The sequence below is a fragment of the Homo sapiens genome, chromosome 16 (assembly GCF_000001405.40).
Source record: "Homo sapiens chromosome 16, GRCh38.p14 Primary Assembly".
Classification (NCBI taxonomy): domain Eukaryota; kingdom Metazoa; phylum Chordata; class Mammalia; order Primates; family Hominidae; genus Homo; species Homo sapiens.
The window spans coordinates 34,428,659-34,447,036 of NC_000016.10; the positions used below are offsets into that span (position 1 = coordinate 34,428,659).

Below are 18,378 nucleotides of genomic sequence, written 5' to 3' on the forward strand. Positions count from 1 at the left end.
CCAAGAGGCAGAGGTTGCAGTGAGCCAAGATCGAGCGATTGCACTCCAGCCTGGATGACAGAGGGAGACTCCATCTCAAAAAAAAAAAAAAAAAAAAGTGTTAATATAAATTCATCAGCTGTAACAATGTAGAACTCCCATGGGTGGACAATGGGGAAAACTGGGTATGTGTGGAACAGGATATATATGAGAACACTGTACCTTCTTCTAAATTTTACTGTGTAAACTTACATAACTTTACTGAAAGACATAAAAAAAAGTTTGAAAATCAATCACATCTTTAGATCAGAAAAAATGGTGAAATAAAGATCATAATGACATAAACTTGGTGCATTTAAAACCTAAAAGAAACATGTATTTTCAAAAATAATTTTCAGAATGGAGGGGATCATGGCGGATGGAAGGCAGGACTAGATTGCAGCTCCAGATAGAGCACCATCTGGAGGCTTCCATTGTGAATTTTATCTCCAGATTGACTGCAAGAAAAACCAGCACTACTGAGAGGACCCACATACCCTCTGAAGGAAGTGGACTGCTCCTGCAGGACCCAGGAGATACCTCAAATACTGTGAGTGCCCCAACTGCAGAGGTGGAAAAGGGAGACGCTCCTCCCCCTAACACATCCTCCCACTGGAGAAGCTTCTGTTTGCAGAAATTTTCCAACTTTAGAATGAATTAGAGAGGGTTCCTTCTTTCTCTATCATGTGGAATAGTGTCAAAAGTAGTCAAAATAGTGTCAAAAGGATTGGTACCAATTCTTCTTTGAATGTCTGGTAGAATTCTGCTGTGAATCCACCTGGTCCTGGACATTTTTTGTTGGTAATTTTTAAATTACCATTTCAATCTTGCTGCTCATTATTGGTCTGTTCAGGGTATCTAATTCTTCCTCATTTAAGCTAGGATGGTTGTATTTTTCCAGGAGTTTATCTATCTCTTTTAGGTTTTCTAGTTAATGTGCATAAAGGTGTTGAGAGTAGGTTTGAATGATCTTTTGTATTTCAGTGGTGTCAGTTGTAATATCTCCTGTTTAATTTCTTAGTGAGGTTATTTGGATTTTCTCTCTTCTTCTCTTGGTTAATCTTGCTAATGGCCTATCAATTTTATTTATATTTTCAAAGAACCAGGTTTTTGTCTCATTTATCTTTTGTAATTTTTGTTTCCATTTCATTTAGTTCTGCTCTGATCTTGATTATTTCCTTTCTTCTGCTGGGTTTGGGTTTGGTTTGTTCTTGTTTCTCTAGTTTTTTGAGGTGTGACCTTAGATTGTCCGTGTTCTTTCAGATTTTTTGATGTAGGCATTTAGGGCTATGAACTTTCCTCTTAGCACCACCTTTGCTGTATCCCAGAGGTTTTGATAGGTAGTGTCGTTATTGTCATTCAGTTCGAAGGATGGTTTAACTTCCACCTAGATTTCATTTTTGACCCAATGCTCATTCAGGAGCAGGTTATTTGATTTCCATGTGTTTGCATGGTTTGGAAGGTTCCTTTTGGAGTTGATTTCCAGTTTTATTCCACTGTGGTCTGAGAGAGTGCTTGATATAATTTCAATTTTCTTAAATTTAGTGAGGCTCATTTTATGGCCTATCATATGGTCTATCTTGGAGAAAGCTCCATGAGCTGTTGAATACAATGTGTATTCTGTGGTTGTTGGATAAAATGTTCTGTATGTATCTATTAAGTCCATTTCTTCCAAGGTGCAATTTACATCCATTGTTTCTTTGTTGACTTTCTGTCTTGATGACCTATCTAGTGCTGTCAGTGGAGTATTGACGTCCCCCACTATTATTGTGTTGCTGTCTATCTCATTTCCTAGGTCTATCAGCAATTGTTTTATAAATTTGGGAGTTCCAGTGTTAAGTGCATCTATATTTAGGATTGTGATATTTGGTTACATGAGTAAGTTCTTTGGTGTTGATTTGTGAAGGTTTGGTGCACCCATCACCTGAGTTGTATACACTGCACCATATTTGCAGTCTTTTCTCCCTCTCCTTCCTCCCTCTCTTCCCCCCAAGTCCCCAAAAAGCCCATTGTATCATTCCTACACCTTTGCATCCACATAGCTTAGCTCCCACGTATGAGTGAGAACATTTGATGTTTGGTTTCCTTTTTTGATTTACTTTACTTAGAGTAATAATCTTTCATCTCATTCAGGTCACTGCAAATGCTGTTAATTCATTCCTTTTAAGGGCTGCAAAGTATTGCATCATCTATATATTACCACAGTTTGTTTAGCCACTTGTTGATTGATGGGAATTTGGGTTGGTTCCATGACTTTGCTACTGTGAATTGTGCCACTGTAAACATGCGTGTGCAAGTATCTTTTTTGAATAATGATTTATTTTCCTCTGGGTAGATACCCAGTAGTGGGATTGTTGGGTCAAATGGTAGGTCTACTTTTAGTTCTTTAAGGAATCTCCACACTGTTTTCCATAGTGGTTGTACTAGTTTACATTCCCAGCAGCAGTTTAGAAGTGTTCCCTGTTCACCACGTCCACACCAACATCTACTGCTTTTTAATTTTTTGATTATGGCCATTGTTGCAGGAGCAAAGTGGTATCGCACTGTGGTTTTGATTTGCATTTCCCTGATCATTCGTGATGTTGAACATTTTTTCATATGTTTGCCATTTGTATATCTTATTTTAAGAATTGTCTATTCATATCCTTAGTCCACTTTTTGACAACAGTCAGCAGAGTAAACAGACAACCCACAGAATGGGAGAAAATCTTCACAATCTATACATCTGACAAAAGACTAACATCTAGGATCTACAACAAACTCAAACAAATCAGTAAGAAAAAAAATCCCATCAAAATATGATATAACCAAATACCACCTGTACCCCAATAATTTATAGAAAATTAATAAAAATAATTTTCATGTATTATTCAAGAGAAACAATCATATTAAAAATAAAATGAAGGGGCTTGTCAAGTCTGATATAAATTCATAATTACATGTATTATCCTAGACAGCTCAAGGAGGACAGGACTCCTAGGGGAATGTCTGGCTCTGGGTTGCTTGCAGCCCACTCTCCCACACCTCCCTCTACCCGCCCCCCCACCCGCTTCCCCGACCCTAGCCATTGCAGTCTTGCTGCTACTGCCAGGCCACCGCCATTTTTTAAAGAGGCCCCAGCCTGACTTACAGGAGCAGAGCTTAAGTCGGCGCAGCCAATGCGCATGCGCGAGGCCTGAGCTGATTCTTGAGTCACAGAGACTTTCACGGTCCGCCTGGTGATGGGTCCCTGAGGCGTGGCAAAGCAGGACCCCTTCGTGGCAGTGCGTCGGTGTCGCGACTCCACCCTGACGTCTCCAGGAGCTCGAGAGGGATGGTCTCCGGACGCCAGGAGTCGCGGAGGGCCGACCAGGATGAAGAAACTTCAGGCGGAGTCCCAGGAGAGCAGCGCGGGATCCCAGCCTCAGCCTGCCCAGACGGTGTGTGGGCAAGTCTCCCCGCAACTCGCGCCCCCTCTGATCTACAGGACAGGCCTGCAGTATGCCCGTGGGCTGCTCTCTTACCCGATTGTCGTTCTCGCGGAGAGCAGAACCCGGCAGCCTCAAGGGCTACCTGGGGTTGGGTGTTTCTGTGCCGCTGCTGTATGTCTGTGTGTGTGTATGTCTTTCTTTCACTCCTTCCTCTCTCTCTCCTCTCTCCCTCTGTGGCTGTGTGTGCCCATGTGCGTGTGTGTTTTGGGATGAATGTGCCCTGTGCGCTGGAGGGCTGTTTCTTGCATGTCGGTCTGTATTTGGTGAGACTCTTTCTGTGTCTCTGCCTGGGACGTCTGACCAGTTGTTGGTCTTTTTCCCGGCGGTTCCAGTTTGGGTTTGTGAAGGCCTTGGCAATGCGGGTAGCTGCGATGGACCCGCAGGGGTTGAAATCTACTCCCCATCCTGAGAGGCCTCTTTTCTAGGATCAAGACGGTCTCACCACACCCAAGGATAGTATTTAAAAAAGCATCAGCGGAGCTCATTGTTCTTCTGCAGGAGAGGTGCAGACCGACCTCCAAGAAGATGGTTCTAACTCCTCCCGCCCTCTCTTCCCATTGAGAAATGGAGCCCCACCGCGACACAGGCTTGGAGAAGAAGTCGAGAACGGGATGTGGCAAGGATCTCTGTCACTCCAACGCTGGCCTTTCTGGCCAAGTCACCCGTTTGGCACTCCTTCCCGGAAGCCCATGGCGGTGGCATTGTGCTGTATCCCGCCTGGGCTCTGACCTCTACACTGTCCTCCCTCTTGCTCTGTCTGCCATGTTTCTGACGGGCCTGGATGCTTCTTGGTCTGGCTCAGTGTCTTCCACAGAGAACACTTTTGAGTCCATCAGGGAGAAACTGTGTGGAAATCCATTTCGTGAATGTTGTCATCATAAATCATCAAAATGTCATCTGATAGAACATATTTTTCTAAGTTAATTTACTTATGAGACATTTACAAGGGTATAGAATAATGTACTCAGTGAATGTAGTCCTCTCATTTAATCTTTGATGTTTTAGATGACGATATTTCTTTTTTTGAGACAGAGTCTCACTCTGTCACCCAGGCTGGAGTGCAGGAGGGAGATCACAGCTCACTGCAGCCTCGACTTCCCAGGGTCAAGGGTCCTCCAACCTCAGTTTCCCAAGTAGCTGTGGCTACACGCATGCACCACCATATCCAGCTTTTTGTAAATTTTGTAGAGATGAGGTTTTGCTGTCTTGCCCAGGCTGGTCCCGAACTCCTGGGCTCCAGCAGTCTGCCCACCTCGGCCTCCCAAAGTGCTGGGATTACAGGCATCAGCCATCAAATCTGCCTAGGATGACTTGGTTTTCTTATTGGCATATTCTATATTCACTAAATAAAGTATCTACAGTCTCAGTCCAGGTAGGGTAAGCAAAAATAAATAAATAAATAATCTACAGTAATTTTGCATACTTATATTCTAAATTTAGGTACAAATCCATAGCTTATATGGTCTAATTTTAAAGTTTTTTAAACAATATAAGTAATGGCCATGTAAATCTTTTCATAGCTTTTTTAAATTAAAATAGATTTGAAAGTATACCTAAATCATTTTGGGTTTTTTTGTTTCTGTTTTTGTTTTTTGTTTCTAGAGTGCAGTGGCATGATCTCGGCTCACTGGAACCCTTGCCTCCCAGGTTCAAGCAATTCTCTGCTTCAGCCTCCCCAGTAGCGAGGATTACAGGTGCCCGCCACCATGCCCAGCTAATTTTTTTTTTTTTTTTGTATTTTTTAGTAGAGACGGGAGTTCACCATCTTGGCCAGGCTGGCCTTGAACTCCTGACCTCATGATCTACCTGACTCGGCCTCCCAAAGTGGTGGGACTACAGGTGTGAGCCACCGCTCCCAGCCCCTAAATCTTAAAAATATAAAGAGACATTTTTTTAAAAATCAGTTTTAAATGAGTTTAGCATTACATTTCCAGTTGTTTATATTTCAATGAGGACTGACTGAATTGTATTTTTTAAAAAAAATCTGGCCAGGCACAGTGGCTCACGCCTGTAATCCCAGCACTTTGGGAGGCCGAGGCAGGTGGATCATCTGAAGTCGGGAGTTTGAGACCAGCCTGACCAACATGGGGAAACCCCATCTCTACTAAAAATACAAAAAATTAGACGGGCATGGTGGTGCATGCCTGTAATCCCAGCTTCTCGGGAGGCTGAGGTAGGGGAATCACTTGAACCCGGGAGGTAGAGGTTGCGGTGAGCCAAGATCAAGCCATTGCACTCCAGCCTGGGCAACAAAAGCGAAACTCCATCTCAGAAAAAAACAAAAACAAAAACAACAAAATCTCCATGTAGCCTTGAATTAGTAACACATCTATCTTTTCTTTGATGTGGTGTTTACTTCTCTTCACAGAAAGTTTGCATTCTTTTCTATTAGCAGTGAAAGAGATGCTGTACATGACAGTCTCATCTTTTATTCAAATGGAAAGATTATCAAACTATTTCTCAAGACAATGCTTTTAAATATTATTTATATATTAATCTTTTAAGTAAACAATTTCTATCTTATTCCCTATATACTAGTTGTATTATACTTTATTTTTTATTTTTAAATTATATTTTTATTTGGGTCACCAGGAGAAAGATTCACTTGTGGTTCAAATCAAGTGTTCAGAATCATAACAGGACAGAAAGGTTTGATCCCGAGCAAAGCCCTCAAGGGGGAAATCAAAACAGGCTGAAATAAGACAATACCCCATATAAAGAGATGAATGAGTGGCTACACACACACACACACACACACACACACACACCCCGATGATGTGCACAGAGGCACATTTCACATGGTCATTTCTGTTTCTTTTTAAATACTGGTTTGTGGGGTGGGATTTTGATTTTTCCAGCTACAAGAAAAGGCCCAAAAGTGCATATGTGAGGGGGGAAAGGCAGAAATTCAGCAATAAAGTAGATTTCCCTGGAGGAACATGAAGGGGAGGAAACAGGAAGCAGTGTTGGGACAGTTCACTCTTCTCACCCTTGGGCTCCCTGCGTTTTATTATTGGTCCACAAAAGTTATATTCACGTTGTAGCTTCCAGGCATCTTCCTTCCTGGGAGTAGACTGGCTGAAAGACCTCTGGGAACTGTAGAGAAGACCAGAGGCCCAGGCCAGCCTTCAGGGCTCTGTGCTTTTCTAGGGATGGATGGCTCTGGTAAGGAACAAAGATGCCCAGCAGCCCTGGGCCCCTCAGCACCAGTGTGAAGGTCCCTCCTCTCTCTGGGGATGTGTAAGAAAATGGCCCCTACTTTGAGGACAGAAAGAGTAGGAGGAGGAGGCCCTGCAGCAAGATTCCATGGCTGGCTCCCCTTGTCTGGGAAGGGAAACTAAGCTGAGCTATGACAGGCTGCTTCCTGCTGCTCTGGGCCCTCCTCCCACCACTCACCATTCTCCCAAATGCAGGTCTTCTAATGGGATGTGTCCCTGACCTTTGGTCCCCAAATCCACATTGTACTTTGAGAGCAAGAGGAAACAGAATGCACCAGCACCACCCCCAAGACTCCCAAGATCACTTCCCCAAGAGATTCTCTGCCTCCCCAGCCCCCAAACTGCCCAATATAAGATACTCTACCCACTTCCACCTAAGCTGGGGCCAAAAGGAAAAGGATTGGTCAGGCAGGGGCTCCTTGCCGTTATTTAGTCATTTCCTCAACCTCTGATTTGGAGCAAATATCCCCAAATACATTAATAAACAGTTGACAAAACACTCATGATGACTAATGACTGAACAGGCCCTGTCCCTCGCCTGCGGGTTACAATTGTGCAAAGGGACAGGAGGTCAACAGGAGAGCCCGTTTGGACTCAGGGTGAAGATGGGAGGGAGACAGAAGGGTGGCAAGAAAAACCAGAGATGAATAAAGTCAGGCCAGAGTTGTCACAGCCACCAACCAGCAGAGAGAAGGAACTTGAACACAGCACCATCATTCCCCTTCACATCCTGGAGGCTGTGCTTTCAGTTTTGTAGCCCGGGGACCCTCTTTCTTGTTTCAAAGGGGCTTTATGTGAGGGGGAGACCTGCAGGGAGAGCCCCCATGGTGAGATACACACAACGTGGGTGAAACGGGGTCCTTCTGGTACCCTATTCTGCAGCCCCAGACACAGATGGGAGAAGAAAATAAGCCTGGAGTGACAGAGCCTTCCCCCAGCCCTTACCCACAGTGAGCTGCAGACTCAAGGGCGGCCCCCACCTAGGCTACACCAGCCCCTTACCTTCTGCTCTGCACACTGCAAAGGCAGATGGCTGGGCTTTCTCCACTCAGAGATTCGGGAAGGAGGAATTCATTTCAAAGACAAGGGAAGGAACTTCTCTTCCCCCAGGGCCCTCTCCTCTCACTGTGGGTTTTGAGGAAATTATCAGGGGAAGAGGGCTCTGCACAGGCCCACAAACCCCCAACTGCACACAGGCCCAGAGACACCTGCGGACATGCCGCCTGCCCCATCTCTCACACTCGCGTGTCAGACACCCGCAGACGCTCATGCTCCTGCCTCTGCACGCCAGGTCTTGGAGACATAGTGGTCCCTGCCGGCTTTGTGCATTTGCAAGTCCACTTGGCATTGAGCTGGGGAGAGGAGGCCATGGAAGGCCCATGGCATCTTCCCAGCAGGAGCAGGGAGGGGCGGCCCACCTAACGCAGATCCCTGGAGTTGGGGGAGCTGCAGGGGAGAACTCCCCGTTCTCCTCCTTCCTGCGGCTGTCCTACAATTAAGAAAGGCGAATTTGACCCAAATCGTGCTTCCTGGGGCGCCCTTTGTTCACTGCAGGCCTGCGTGGGCAAGAGGCAGAATCACTGGATGCTAGGAACGCACGGGGAGGGGAGGGAGCGTTCGCCCCGCTCCTATCGTCGCCCTGGAGGAGGGAGAAGGTGGAGAGGGAGACCCCGGTGGAACAGCAGCCCCCTCTTTGAGAAAGAGAGGCAGGGCCCCTCGCACCGGTTCCTACACAAGGCGGAGCCCCGCCCTCATCCCAGGGACAAGGAGTGGCTCCCACTGTGGGGACTGCGTGAAGCCCCTGCCTGGGGGTCCTGGAGTCTCCGCCTCCCCCAACCACGGGAGGTGCGGGTGTGTGAGAAGCTGGGCGGGAGGATGTGAGGGGAGAAGGGAGGCGTCGAGGCCGGGGCGTGTCTCCCGTTCCAGCCCCCGAGAGGCCCAGGCCCCTCCATCAGGAGAGACACCCAAGCTGTCGGCCAAGGCCAAGGAGAAGCCTCCCGGGAAGGAGCTCGGAGGCGGCAGGAGACGGCTTCCGTCGGCAAAAGCAGCCGGAGCAGGGACAGGGTCTCAGGATGTGGCAGGGTTTAAAGAACAGAGGCGCTGAGGGCCGATGGGGCGCCCGGGCTTCGAGGCCTCCACGCTCTCGGCCGCCGTCCCTGGGTCTCCCGTGCGCCCCCGGCCTGCACTTCCCGCCACGCGGATCCGCTGCTGGTCAGCCCGGTCCTGAGGGAGCGCGGTCCTGCCGGCGGCGCTGCAGTCGCGAGGGGCCGCGCTGCCTGGGGAGCGGGGCTGCGGCTCCCGGCGGCCACCCAGGCCTAGGCCCCCGGCTGCTGCGGGCTGTGGCAAGGCTGCCGCCGTCCTGGGAACCTCGGCGCTCCGGATCAGGCCCTGACCCGCCAGACCACGCGCTCTTACCCTGCTCCTCCCGGCGTCCTGGCTCCGGGCCCCTTCTTGGTTCTTCACTCTCGGGACTCCAGGCGTGTCCCCGCCGCGCCGGAGCCTCTGCCGGGTTCTCAGACGCCCGGCGCCGCTGACTGCGGAGCGCGCTGGGCTGCTGGAGGCTCCGCCAGGCCCGTTCACAGCCCCGAGGACGCCGGCTCGAGTTCCCTTCCAGTCCGCCGGCGCCTGTCCGCGCTTGCCCGACTTTGTTTATTCCACACTTAGAGTTTTAAACTTAACGAGCTTTTCAAAAAATATTCTCTCCAATTCTGTGGATTGTCTTGTAGGTTTTTTGTTTGTTTATTTTGACAGGGTCTCACCCTGTCGCCCAGGCTGCAGTGCAGTGGCGCGATCTCGGCTCACTCACTGCAACCTCCGCCTCCCAGGTTCAAGCGATTCTCCTGCCACAGCCTCCTGAGTAGCTGGGATTACAGGCACCCGCCACCACGCCTGGCTAATTATTTTTTATTTTATTTTTTGTAGGGATGGGGTCTCCTTATGTTACCCAGGCTGGTCTCAAACTCCTGGGCTCAAGCGATGCTCCCGCCTTGACCTTTCAAAGTGCTGGGGTTACAGGTGTGAGCCACTGCGCCCAGCCCCATTTCTGAAATAAAAGATCCTCTTCTCACTGAAGTTAAATCCCCCCCACACTGGAATCTATCCCTGGCTCGGAGTTGTGTTTTATTTTGAACTTATAATTAGTCATATGATTAAATATTATATCCAGTCCCTTGTCCATCATTAATGACCCGTTTTAATCCTGTGATTTGTTTATCTCCAATTTATATCTTTTCCACGGATGTGTCCCATATGCGTTTCACATTATAAGTATTTAAAAATAATTACTCTTATGTTTTCTTTCCTGTCATATATACATATATGAAAAAAAGAAATAATGCAGCAATATCTGGTGTTCCATAAGAAAATTAAACCATAAATTTTACTTCTTAGTATGTTATATAGGTTAAATAAAATACTTTAGAAAGGAATTGCTTTTGAAAAAATTTATTTTATGATCCTAAACCTTTGAAAACAGGTGTAGCACAATTATATTAATCTTGGAGAAGTGCTCAGTTAGATATATCTCTATAGACATGCGTAGATATATAGGCATCGATATAGAGAAATATCAATTTTTCTTTAGCATGAAAAGGAAAGGCATTTCAACAATGGTGAACCAGGGAAAACATATCTCATTTAAACTGCTTAGACTGATAAAAATTTAAATGAATAAATATTTAACGTGATGATGAATAAGGACAGAATTCTAATACATTCCATATTAGGATTATAAAGTGTTTTCACATTTAGGAGTTGGCAACCAGACAATATCTATTAACATTTAAAACACAGAAAAGGGGCTGTGTGCGGTGGCTCACACCTGTAATCTCAACACTTTGGGAGGCTGAGGCAGGCAGATCACGAGGTTAGAAGTTTGAGACCAACCTGGCCAGCATGGTGGAACCCTGTCTCTACTAAAAATACATTTTAAAAAAATTAGCCGGGCATGGTGGCACGTGCCTGTAATTTCAGCTACCCAGGAGGCTAAGGCAGGAGAATTTCTTGAACCCGGGAGGCGGAGGTTGCAGTAAACCGAGATTGTGCCACTGCACTCCAGCCTGGGCGACAGAGCGAGACTCTGCCTCAAATAATTAAATAAATAAATAAAATACAGAAAAGAAGCACGTAGCAATGCTAGTCCTGAGAATCTCCCCGCAGGGCCACAAATGCAGGTGAAAAGACAAGAGCACAGTGCCGGACCCCAGTGTTTCCACCAGGTGACCTGTATCTGCCAGGATTTACAGAGGTTCCCCCCTTTCATGTATGCACTTTTTGCACATTTTCTGAGATTCCAACTTTATAATAAAATCAACAGTAAAACAAATTTAATTTTGATATATCATTTTTCAAAATAAAAAGATGTTCCAAAAGAGACCTTTTTTTGTTTGTTTGTTTGAGATAAAGTCTCACTCTGTCACCCATGCTGGAGGGCAGTGGCATGATCATGGCTCACTGCAACCTATGCCCCGGGTTCAAGTAATTCTCCTGCCTCAGCCTCCCGAGTAGCTGGGATTACAGGCACCTGCCACCATGCATGGCTAATTTTTTGTATTTTTAGTAGAGATGGGGTTTATCCATGTTGGCCAGGCTGGTCTTGAACTCCTGACCTTGTGAACCGCCCACCTCCACTTCCCAAAGTACAGGCATGAGCCACCATGCCCAGCGGAGGCCCTTTCAACTCACTGTGCTGCTGAAGGGTATGCCTGAGGCTACCCAGGAGAAAAGTCATTAATAAAGGCATGGAAAGCACTACTCTGTTTTTTCAGTCTCCTGTTTATGCCACAGTGGAGAAATAACCTGAGCTGAGCCCTGCTGACTTCTTCCCCAGCAGTGAGCCTGGACCTTAAAGCAGCATTGTTCCCTCCTCTCCACCAATGACTCCCAATCTGCCAGGCTGTGTTCACTGACATCAGCTGCATCTGAGGGTCACTAAGGCCAGTGGATCTAGGGGAGCTTTCTGCTGGGCCGGAATTCCTCCACTGTCGCATGCTGGACACAGCAGTGGACACAGCAGTCAGCTCCTTCATAGTTGATTCTTATACATTAAAATAATATTGGAGATTCTGAAACACACCAAGAAATATGGGACTTAATGTAACAGTGAAACAGCAAAATAATTCACATAACTAACTTCATTTCCATTTAAGGCACCTTCTTCTTTTCCTGCACATAGGTGAGGATAATTTTACAGCACTGAGATAAAATGAAAAGCAGCAATCATATAGTTTTTGAAACTAACTCTGAGGTTAAAGGGGAAGTATATAAACAACTATGTTTTGGTGGAGATTTACAGGAACATTGTGACCTGGCCAAGGACAAGGAAGTTCCCAACCTCCTCAGACCCTCGCTGGCTCCCAGGTGTCTGTGGTCCTTAGCCCCCTCTGGATCTCAACCCCCTCCCCTTTGCCAGCCCTTTACATAAAAAGACCCTGACATTTGTACTAACTTAACCTGCTTCTTTAGAACATTAGTCCACCATCTTCTTCATTTTCTGGATCTTCAAACTAAAGTCACCTTCCTTGCCCCAACTCCTTGTCTCCTGACATATTGGCTGGTGGGCAGGAGCAGAATGAGGTCGTGTTGGACTTGGTTACATTACTTTCTCTTCACAAAAAGTTCAGATTTCCTTGTGCAGTGGAAGAACGACTGTACTTGAGCGCTTCATCTTTTCTTCTAATTGAAACACTATCAAACTACATTTCTCAAAACAATTCACTGTATCATTCATATGTTATTGTAAGTGAATAACTGATATTTTATTCTCTACATACTAATTATACTTTGAAAATATATGCACTTTATCAGTAAAGATTTTCAGTACTCTCTAGCAATATTTTTTTCTAGAGTTATATTCCCAATAGTTATGTCATAAATTAAAGCCACATTTTTTGCTTAAGTATGTATACATTAAAAAACAAAAGAAGGCTGGGCGCAGTGGCTCACGCCTGTAATTCCAGCACTTTGGGAGGCTGAGGCGGGTGGATCACTTCAGGTCAGGAGGTTGAGACCAGCCTGGCCTACATGGTGAAACCCCGTCTGTACTAAATATACAAAAGTTAGCCGGGTGTGGTGGCGCATGTCTGTAATCCCAGCTACTTGGGAGGCTGAGGCAGGAGAATCGGTTGAACCCAGGAGGCAGAGTTTGCAGTGAGCTGAGATCTTGCCACTGCACTCTAGCCTGGGCAACAGAGCAAGACTCCACTCAGTCTCAAAAAAAAAATAGCTTTTTTGAGGGGGGATAGAGTTAACTGGTATGCTTAGATAGAAATTGTTATAATTTAATATTCATATATTCATATTTTTATATAATCATGGATATTTTCTAAAAAAATTGACAAGTTCCACAGAAATTGTTTTCTTTTACTACATGAGTAATGTAGGGAGAGATTTTTGATGAGTAATAGATCCCCTGGGACAACACTGGAGAACTCCACGTTGCTACTCCTCAACCCGTCTCAAATTCATCAAAAACACTTTTTAGTGGAAAGCTAAAAAAAGCTACAGGGGGCTTCTCTCCCCCAAAATTAAGCCAGGGTTCCTATCATTCATACATTTAGTCACCAGTTATGTCTCCCCGTTAGGCAATGAGCACAAACTTGTCAGTGTCACAGTGGAAGGGAAGCAGCAAATGACACTGCAAATAACTGGAAGGGGTGGGGGAGTCACATGAGATCAACGACAGAGACAGCATCACCAGAAATGCCTTTGCATCACAGACAGAGTAATGAAGACAAAGGAAGTCCCTGTCTTCATGTGGCTGACATTTTAGGGAGAAAAGGATGAAACTCCACAGTACAATTAAATATAGAATGGAGCATATCAGGAGGTAATAAGTTTTATGGAGAAAAATAAGGGTAGATTAGCACATGTTCCCAACAAAAATGACTGAGGCGAGGGACTCCTCAGCAGAGGTTTATTGAGCCAAGGTTTGAGGCTGCACCCAGAAACTTACACAAGTCATAGGAGCATCTGTACTTTTTCAGCTGGGGATGAAATCATGGAGGTGTCTAAAACTGTCTCCGCAAAGTCAGTTCCTGGGAGGGGGTCTTAGGACCAGGTGGCATCTCTTGGTCTGCTGAAACCCTAAATCAGAAAAGTATCTCAAAGACCAGTCCTTTAGGTCTCACAACTGTGATGTTATCTATAGGCGTGGTTGGGGAAATCACAAATCTGGTGACCCCCAGTTACATGACCCTGGGGCAGGAAATAACTTATAGAAAACAAGCTAAGCAATGGCAGGCACGGTTTAACCATCCCTGTTCTTTACAAACTTCACACCCTACCATAATTCTCATCTTGTCTTGTAAATGCATCTTCGATCTCTGAATGAGGAGGAGGTCAGCTTTCTTTGCTTCAAAGTTTAACTATACAGTAAATTCTTCTCATGGTTATCTTGGCCTCCATGATAGAATAAGCAAAAAAAGATTTAACCTGTGAGGTTAGAAGCAAGATGGAGTCAGTTATGTTAGATTGATCTCATGACTTATAATTCTACAAAGATGGTTTCAACTTCCAACAGGCCTTGGCCACGGATATGTGGAATTAGACTGAAGATTTCTCCTGGGAAACGGGCAGCAGAATGGACCTTAAAGATGAATGATAAAAACTTGCACAATGGGGCCAGGTGGGGTGGCTCACGCCTGTAATCCCAGGACTTTGGGAGGCCGAGGCAAGCAGGTCACCTGAGGTCAGGAGTTCGAGACAAGTCTGGCTAACATAGCAAAACCCTGTCTCTATTAAAAATACAAAAATTAGCTGGGCATGCTGGTGCACGTCTATAATCCAAGCTACTCAGGAGGCTGAGGCAGGAGAATCACTTGAACCCGGGAGGCAGAAGTTGTAGTGAGCCAAGATTGCACCACTGCACTCCAGCCTGGGTGACAGAGAGAGACTGTCTCTCACACACACACACACACACAAAATCCTCCACAATGGGAGGGGGTTTGCCCATAACCCAGGGTTGGTAGGTTACAGCCACCCATTGCTAGGCCTTGATCCTCATTACTCCTTCTTTTGAAATATGAGCTCAAAGACACCAACATAATCTGTGTAGCAACCCCCTTCACTCAGCTATGCCCAAGGATGACATAAAGTGAGACATCAGCCTCCAAGCCAATAACTGACAAATGGTTTAGTGGGGTTTCCTTGGTTAAAAAAATAGAGACTTATGTTTGCCTCAGATGGACCAGTGTCTCAGACATGCTCCTTCAGTTTGGAAGTCACAATGTAACAGTGGATGTGTTGAAGAAGCCCTTTAATGAAAAGAAGCTCAAGGCCATGTCAAAAGCTCCAACTTCTGAAAAGCTTTCTGCATTGGAATAAACAGTTGAATCAAGTGTATTTGAATGCATCGACCTGGCCAGTGGATCCGGGGAGAAAGGCAAGGGGTTTCATTTTAAGGACCGAACTAGGCCCCTTGTCCTCAGGAAATCATACAGGCATAGCATTGAATTGATGTCTTGGGCAAAGTGGACACAGTGGCAAGATATTTGAGGCTGAGATGAGACTCATTCTGGGACTGCACTCCTATATACCCGTCTTCATGGGCCTTTCCACTGTGACTCTGCCTGAGGGCAGAAGAGATGTGGGTGTGGACATGGGGCTGGGGTGGGGCAGGGACCATGCCAGAACAATAGCTGACTGGGCTAAAGGCAGAGGAGTCCCTATTCTGGGACAATTCTGTTACCACTAAGCTACCAGTTGCTATGAGGACTTCCTTTTTCTATCTTTTTTTTTTAAAAGACCTGAGTCTGAGCTATTATGTATGTACATTTTTATAGCCGTGTTTTCACCCTGTTGCCCAGGCTGGAGTGCAGCAGCTATTCACAGGCACGATCCTTGCACACTACGGCCTCAAACTGCTGGCCTCAAGGGATTCTCCACTTCGGCCTCCCCAGTATCTGGGACTACAGGCTGGGACTACAGGTGTGTGACACCATCCCCATCCTGATCTACTGCAGATTCTCTTGATTTCTGGGTAAACAGACTGACTGCACCATCCTATCCTGTCAAATCACTTGCACAAATACTTCTACTTTAAGAGTTCTTCCACCTTGTCCAGAACCATAATCCATCAACCCCATTATTTGATCTCTCAAAAGAATAAACAAATGACACACTGACCCATCAAAACACACACGTCCTTTCCCCAAATACCAAACACAAAAAACACAGCTGGTCTTCTTCACTTCACCCACTTGAGAGAGTCACTTTCTTATGAGTACCTTTAACTCCCTGATTTACTGCTGTGCTTTTTCTGGCACAATCCCATACTTGGATGAGCCCCACACTATGTTTCTTCAATGATGTCACTCAGCTGAGCCAGATACAATGTAGAAAAGTAGCCAGGTGGTATCAACACAAATTCAAAACTAGCTACACACCAGATTGGCCATAAACACTGTCCAGAACTTACTAAGTTCACATTTGGCTGATAAAACCCTTTCCTCAGAAACCCAACATCTCTAACAATCTTCTCCATGTCCTTTGAACCTTTACTCATGTGGCTTTTACCTGGTATCTTGCCCAATAATTCATACAAAAATTAGATCCCATGAGGCAAGAACAGCCTCATCTTTCTACCATCTCTAAAGATAATATGCACAGGTCTGTAACTTTCTAGCCTTCTTTATTTCATCATGTCAGTAAAAGGATACACCATAGATAAGAGAATGAGAAGACATCCAGTCTCATTTGTAAGGTAATGTTATAATGAAATTACATTTTTCTTTTGTTTTTTTGTTTGTTGTTGTTGTTTGTTTGTTTGTTTTTTGAGGCAAAGTCTCAATCTGTCACCCAAGCTGGAGTGCAGTGGCATGATCTTGGCTCCCTGCAACCTCTACCTCCCAGGTTCAAAAGATTCTCCTGCCTCAGCCTCACAAGTAGCTGGGATTACAGGCATCCGCCACCATGCCTGGCTAATTTTTGTATTTTTAGTAAAGACGGGTTTTCACCATGTTGGTCAGGCTGGTCTTGAACTCCTGACCTCAGGTGATCCACCCACCTCAACCTCCCAAAGTGCTGGGATTACAGGTGTGAGCCACTGCGCCTGGCCCACATCTTTCTTTGTGCCGTTATTATTTCTTCATGAAATCAATGCTTCATTATGCAAACATGGTCCCATGGACTATCTTTTTTAAAAATGGCAATAATATGGCCAGTTCCTTACAAAACTAAACATGCCCTTAGCATACAATTCAGCAATTGTGCTCCTTTTTCTTTGCCCAAAATAGTTTTTTTTTTTTAACTTTTAAGTCAGGGGTATATGTGCAGGTTCCTATTACCTTGTTATATAGGTAAACTTATGTCATGGAGATTTGTTGTACAGATTATTTTATCAGCCAGGTAAAATAATCTGGGAGGCCAAGGCAAGAGGATCACTTGAGGTCAGGAGTTTGAGAGCAGCTTGGCCAACATGGTGAAACTTCTTCTCTACTAAAAATACAAAAATTAGGCTGGTGTGGTGGCACGTGCCTGTAATCCCAGCTACTCAGGAGGCTGAGGCAGGAGAATCGCTTGAACCCAGGAGGCAGAGGTTGCAGTGAGCCAATATCATGCCACTGCACTTCAGTCTGGGTGAGAGACAAATAAATAAATAAATAATAAAAATTAAAAATCTACATATTTAATTATGTAATTACTGCCATCATATCTCTCTCAGAACACTGATCCAAGAACAACAAAAATAATAAAGATGATACACTCTGCTAATTAAGCAAATTTCCTTTTTTTCTTTGTGAAACCAATTGACAAAATTCTTCAGTTTTTGGTTTTTAGGAATAATTTCCACTAATTTATTTTCAGTGGAGTTTTGCAGGTGCCCCAAACAAAAACACCAACAATGACCAATTTCATTGGGAAAGTACTAAATTTAACAAACTTTATTTTTTGATCAATGAAGACTTATTTTTAATTTTACTTAAACATTTTAGATTTAGCCTTGGATAATAAAATTAATTAATATAGGGAATGTTTACTAACATATATAAATTCACTGACACATATAAAGACTTGTTAGTTAGAATGTCAATTTAATATTGATCAAGGTTGCCTGACAAAAATAAACTTTAGGTAAACTTAAGTTTGATGCATTCTGTTTATAATCTTGTACCTCTGTTTTCATTCTGATTTGGCATGCTGCATAGCTGGGGTCTTTTTTTTAATTTCAGGTGGATTATGGCCACTCTTTTCTTCTCTTAAGTCTTAGTTGATTTTTCTTCCAGAAACAATTTTAAGATCTGCAGAGCTGCATCTGGATCAAGCAGTTGGGTTGGAGGAATATGAACCGTTAAATCACAGAAGAGCTTATTTTCAATTGTCATAGCTAACATTGAGTCTATGCCTAATTATGTAAGCAATGTGGATACTGGAATGTCTTGAGTTTTGTATTCATGAATTCTGTAGCTCATCTGTTGATACTTAAGATGAATAATGAGTAAAAACCAAGTCAAACTCTACCAGAAAATTGAATTTATCTTAGAATTCTTTGCAGAAATAAATTCTGTTAGATGGAACTTAGGAAAGTTTTCCTGTAATTTCTTGAAATAAAATTTGACAGTATATTGTAGTCTGATCATTCTGCATTCTTCATTCTGATTTTCCAGCAACTTGCTTTTAGTAAACTGCTTAGATGTTTGATTTCTCAATAAAATAATCACAACAAAATAATCTCC

The 18,378-nt window shown here is 44.6% G+C and overlaps 1 long non-coding RNA gene across 1 annotated transcript, besides 1 other annotated feature; it reads left to right on the forward strand.

The window, feature by feature from the left end:
- Window positions 1–18,378: part of a sequence alteration artifact (region identified as an assembly artifact by the Genome Reference Consortium. This region falsely duplicates sequence located at GRCh38 chr16:34827082..35072498) that runs on past both edges of the window.
- LOC102724523 (uncharacterized) lies at window positions 3,201–4,456 on the forward strand. The gene is made up of 2 exons (XR_429709.3): window positions 3,201–3,437; window positions 3,987–4,456. It is a non-coding gene; the product is annotated as an uncharacterized LOC102724523 (long non-coding RNA).